General features: G+C 38.1%; 1 non-coding gene across 1 annotated transcript; it reads left to right on the forward strand.

Moving 5' to 3' along the window:
• The first annotated feature begins 4,033 nt into the window (after positions 1 to 4,033).
• On the forward strand, positions 4,034 to 4,137 carry LOC124901829 (small nucleolar RNA U13). Its single transcript, XR_007060665.1, has one exon. It is a non-coding gene; the product is annotated as a small nucleolar RNA U13 (small nucleolar RNA).
• The last annotated feature ends 2,016 nt before the right edge of the window (positions 4,138 to 6,153 follow it).

Consider the following 6,153-nt stretch of genomic DNA (forward strand, 5'->3'; position numbering starts at 1 on the left):
TATTATGGAGACAGTAATTTAATAGTGCTATAAATAGTAATGCTACAAAAGAGAAGTATATGGTGCTGCAAGAACACATAGTGGAACCTCCTACTCATGACATGCAGCCTACCAGACACCTCCAGCTTAGCTCAAAGAAGGAAACCTTTAAGTTCCATATTTCATATACCCATTACAGTATTCAGTCACTCAAACCTCAGTGTTGAGACAACATTGTAACAACCCACAACCCATCAGAGGCAATGGGAGGATAGTCAGAAGAATCAGAACAAGTCTTCAGCCTTTACTGGCAACTGGGAGGAATTATAACTGGAATTTCCAGCCACAGTTTTGCCATGATCTTGTAGGCGCCTGGGAATCTTATGAGATGCAGCATTTGTCCACTAATAGTGAGAAAGTTTTCAGATGGGTCTTAAATATGACCTAGATCTAAATATATATCACCCCAAATGCCAGAAGAATACACAAATTTGAAGAATCTCAGCTGAGACTGTAAGCCTCCGTGATCTTTGTAAATGGAAGTAACAAAAATGGTTTAAGACAAAAGAAGATGCTTGATATCCCTGGAAGGTAGACACATGGACCATGGTGAAGACTACCTCCTTGACAAAGAGGAGGGAAGAAGACTGATGGCTGCAGTAACCAGAGGAAGCTGCTGGACCAGTATTCCTGAGTTGCACACAGGAAAATGCCCTGAAATTCCACTCTAGCACTTTTGTTATCAAGCTTCCCCAACAGAAAGCACTGTTCTGGGAGAACATACCGCAACCATTTTTCTTTATAGAGGACATCTGCCAAAGGTTGACCTTGTCAGCGGCTACATTTTGAAAAATAATTAAGATGGAGAAAGCTTCCTCCACTTATATAGAGATAGCAAGTAAAAAATTCTTGCTAAAATTATAAATTGCTGATCTCTTCTCCTACCAAGTTAGGCCATTAGTGTATTTACCACAGCTTTATGTATTTTCCCCCCATTTATCAGATTGTGTGTGTGCAGTGTGTGTGTTCGGGGGGATCTGTCAGCATACCTTGTCAGTCGAGAAGTTTTACTGTCAACTCAGACAAGTTTCAAACATTGTACAGATTCACAGAGAAGCAAATTGGTTTTCTGGCCCCAGAAGACTCCCTGGGTTGTATTATATGAGTATAGGGAAGGCAAGCTCAGGTTGATCGATTAGTGGGAGATTGCAGGGGCACTTCTGTAGTGCAGACTAAAACAGGAACCTTCCTAGAATGGCAGGGAGCTTGTGAATCAAGTCTTCCTGGATTAAAAGTCATCGCAGACTATAAATTCCCAGGACCAATTCAAATATGTGAATATCATATAATTCATTAGAAATGACTACTGGATCATTTGGTTTTATGGGTTCCATGTTAGTTAGGAAGATACAATTTAAGAGGAAGATGAAAGTATATATACAATGTCTTCATTTATTAATAAAATAAAATTCACAAAAAGTTACAATATTTTATGTTATATATTAGTCATTGAGTACCCAATAAAAGAAAATTTTCAAAAAAAAATAACTTTTTACAAGTAGAAACAGACTTTATTTGGAAACATGAAATACATACATTTTGTCTCTTACCTGGAAGCATTATCAATATTTAAAGATAGCATTTAAAAATGTTGTGTATGGTACCCACTTTCTCAAAGTAAATGTGTTTGCAAGAAATACACTATTTATTAGACAGGCTCTAAAGAGTAAAAATCAAACAAGTAAACAAATAACACAATTATGTTGAAAAACAAAGGGTATCCAGTAAAAGAGAATAACTAGGTATTGTATTCAGTCTTATTCAGATTAGTGAATAGATAGTTTTGTTTTCAATTATTCAATGATATAATAAAATAATAATTTTAACTTTAATCATGTGTGTTTTACATGCCATTTTAAACAATATGAACATTGACAGAGTTAATATAGAAATTTGTCTCAAGCTATGCTGACTGGAGATGGAGTAATATGGAGAACAAGTTCATTTATTATACTCAAGAGATTAAATTCTTCAAGTCCTAAACCTACTGCAAAAAGCCCTTATGTTTTATTCCTGGTTATAGTTCAAATCAATTGAACTAGTGGATAAATAATTAATGCTTCTTGTAAATAATTCAAGGGATTTATTTGGCTAGTATCACATTTCTTCTATGTGAGTGATTCTCTATGTTGTTGGTTATATGACCAAATTCTAACATCTCGAAAGAACAAAACACTTCTAGAGATGTACCTATTAAAAATAATTCAAGTTATTCTGTCAAATATGTATAAACTTGTATATTTTTCTTCATTAAAGCATTTATTAAGTTAATACCTCTACATATATAAACGAAGTTTTAAAGACAAATATCTGTCTATAGGAATATACTTGTAATTGATTTACTTCAAAGAAAATAAAAAATAATTCTGTGCAAATTTGTTATACCTATACTTTTATTTAATTTGTGACCAAAAAAAAATCCAACTTCATTGATCCCCTAAAAATCACCTCTTTTTTATGTTTTTATCATGTGAACATTTGATAAAGAAAATATTACTTGACCACAAAACAGATATACACTTGGACTTAAGAAGGGGAGAATGGAAACAATTGCAATCCAGGGAAAATAAATTGTATAAACAACAACATAGGAGAACATACAGGTGGATACATTCAGGAGCTGCTGCATAATAACTGTCATGGAGTCTTGGGCTGCCAGTTGATTCCAAAGCCTGTGGAAGGAATGGCCCAGCTTGATCTCCTCGTAGGAGGGCCTGAGTGCTGTCTGCTCACTGGAAAGCATCCAGAGGAGAAGCATTCCTAGGACCCATCAGTCACAAATAAGCTCTGCCTCAGAAACCTGCAGGAGGTGGATTCCATGAAAGAGACTGACATTAGCTAAAGGAGGTCAGAAGGACCCTAGTTGAGATAAGTGGCTTCAAGTATCTCAGGCCTAGTGTAGGGATCTGATTTCAAAAAGAAATAGATAGAGTATATATTATACAGGCTTTTCCAGGGTAAGTACAATTCCTTCTCCCAGTATTGCAACTGTAGTGACAAAGAAATACATGATTCTTAGTCTCAGTTTTGGTTTATTTTTATTTTTATTTATTTATTTATTTTTGAGACAGGGTCTTTTTCTGCCACCATGCAGTGGTGCCCTAATGCCTCACTGCAGCCTCGACCTCCCAGCTCAAGTGGTCCTCCCACCTCAGCCTCTCGAGTAGCTGGGACCAGAGGTGTGCACCACCACACCTGGCTAACTTTTGTATTTTTTGTTGAGTTGGGGATTTTCCATGTTGCCCAGGAAGGTCTCAAACTCCTGGGCTCAAGCGATCCGCCCACCTCAGCCTCCAAAGTGCTGGGACTACAAGTGTGAGTCACTGCACCTGGCCCTAGTCTGAAAACTAGGGTGTAGACAACCAACTGTGTCTTTCATGTCAATAAAGTTGTTCATTAGTTGAACAGCTAACAACCAACAACACAATTGGTTGTCTACACAGTAGCCATCTCCTCCCATCTTCAACAACTGGACTCTTGTTTTCTTCATCTTCCTCTGAGTACTCATGTCCTTTGTGGAAAGCTGGAATCCTCCCAGAGCCAGAAGCTGCGTACTCATTAGCCTCGGCCAATTCTGAATGTCTCCTTCCTCAGTCTAGGTGTGTGGTCTGTGTGAAACACACTCTGCCTAATAGATACTAAGGAAAGTTTGCTGGAAGGCTCAGAGATGGTTTATCTCATTTGTGGTAATAGGAATAAGATGGGTTTTCTCTATTCTGCCCCTTTGGTAGGTGACCATTAGAAGGGAAACAACCATCCCTGGACTATTAAGGGAACACCTAGAGAATTGCAGGAAAAGTAAACAGTCATTGCCCTCTTATTTTCATACTTCTTTTCTGTGATGCAATCAAGTCTTCATTTTTGATGCCGTTTTTAATAAGCCATCTGTAGTTTATAGACGAGGCATTCTCAGATGCATATTAGGAGGTCAGATGCAAGTTGGAAAGACATTAAAGGCAGGTTGAGACAAGATTATCAAGGAGGCAGAAGTCTGATCCTTTTGTAGTTTATAAGCGTGATGATTGGGTTTTCATGCTCATGTGTGAGAAGTGCCTTCCTCAAACCTTGTTATGCTGTTGGTGCATTACTCATGTGATGAGAAAAAAAAAAAAGGAGGCAGAAGTCAGACCAAGGGGTATAGGCTTTCCTTGATCAACAGTGGGGAGTCACTGATGGGGTTTGAGAAGGGGAGCGACATGATCAGCACTGCACTTCAAAGCATTATTTTAAAAGTTGAGCGTGGGAAGGATTTAAGACAAGGCTCAGAACATTTTGCCACTTGGAATGCATTGTTGAATATTCATACAAAACTAGTTTATGGCTCAGCATAAACAATTTTTAAACACAAAGTAAAATACAGTATGTGTTGCCATGGTAGTGACAGAGCCTAGGAAGATAATGACAAGCAGAAAAAAAACGGTGCCATTGTAATTTAAATCACTATAAAGCTTTCTAGAATTTAAGTGTGTTTTCAGTCAGAGTATTTTGAATACACAGGGAAAAGATTATGGTTATTTTATCGTTCTTGCTGAGAAAGGAAAGAACAAAAGAGGGGTGTTTCCTTTTTGCACATGAGACCTATAAAGCTAAACAAAATCAAGTTCATGCAATCAAAAAGCTGACTAGGGTTTGAAAGACTGAATGAGTCAATTAACAGTGAAGCTCCAGTGCAGAGCACAGACTGGTGAGGTACCATTGTTAGCATTGGCTGCAGTCCCCTCATGATGATAAGAACGGCTAACAGGCATTGTCTCTGATTACATGCTAAGCTCTGCACTGACACACAGGCACGAGTCCTCTCTGTATCCTTCACCATCAATCACATGTGCTAATGGTGATGAAGTGTGATGTGGGTAAAGAAGACATTGCTGAATTCAGAGATATGATAAACACAAGTAAATAAAAAGTAAAGCCATAGAAGACATAAATGGTTAATGCCAGAATTTCCAAAAGTATGAATTAATAAAGGGTATGAAAAGATGATGGATATATAGATATTAATATAAAGGAGGTAAGTTTTTCAGAGCTTAAAATTGAAAGCAGTGTTAAGCAATTATTTAAGGGGGAAATTACTGTATGTAAGAGGGAGAGAGAGGTTATACAAGCAAAAAAAAAATTCCTCAAATAAACTGAGTGCACATAACAAATGTTATATTAAGTCAATGCAAGTGAGATTTGAAAGTAGATAGAGAAGAACAAACACACCAAAAAAAAAAAATCAAACTTCTTCGAATGTATAATTGAAGACAGTAACCTCCCAAAACTATTATGGCAAGAAGCCTCACCTCTCTTAGACTCACCCACTACTATTTCTTGTATGGATGGCAGTGTGGGTGCACTTTGCATATCTCCATTTATGAAACAGGAATAAGTGAACTAAAGGCATTAAAACTTGGGAAGGAAACTCCATCAGGGATGAGGACTCTTCTGACTATAGTCAGCCTATTTCTGTAAACCTGAAAGACTGTTCTAGGGCAGGGGTTCTTTAGGCTCCGCCCCCAGAGGTTCTGATCAGTAGGTCTGAGGCAGGGCCTAAGAATTTTCATTTCAACAAGTTTCCAGGTGATGTTGCTGCTGCTTCTGCACACTGAAAACCATTGCACAGTATTAGAGGACTCCAAAGTTCCCTGTGTCACCCTCCAAATAACCAGTGGCTGTTCAAACTCCCTATGGCTTTCACAGTCAAGCTTCTCAAAAGGGCTAATAACAGAACATCCAGTTCCTTACTCCCATTCCCTCCTTGGGCCACTTGAATTTGGTTTAAACTTTGCACTTGCATCAGAAGCTCTAGTCAGAGCTACCAAGCTCTCCAACATCTAGTTAACCTCTTGATCTCAAGGTGCCTTGCTGACCACTCGACTTTCTGGCTCTCAGTGAGGCATACTCTTCTTGTTTCGTTTCCTGATGCCAGTGCACTGCTTTTCAGTCTCTTTTGTTGACCCCGATCTTCACTGGTTACCATGTTGTAGCTATATTTACTTATAAAAGTTTCAAAGAGATCATAGGAATGTCGTGTTTAAATCTTTAAATGGCTTCTCCCTTCACTTAGGATCTTTTCACTGTACTGCATTCACAGGACCCCTACAGTTAACCACCAATCATTCTTCAGATCAG

This window comes from Homo sapiens, chromosome 7 (assembly GCF_000001405.40).
Source record: "Homo sapiens chromosome 7, GRCh38.p14 Primary Assembly".
NCBI lineage: Eukaryota > Metazoa > Chordata > Mammalia > Primates > Hominidae > Homo > Homo sapiens.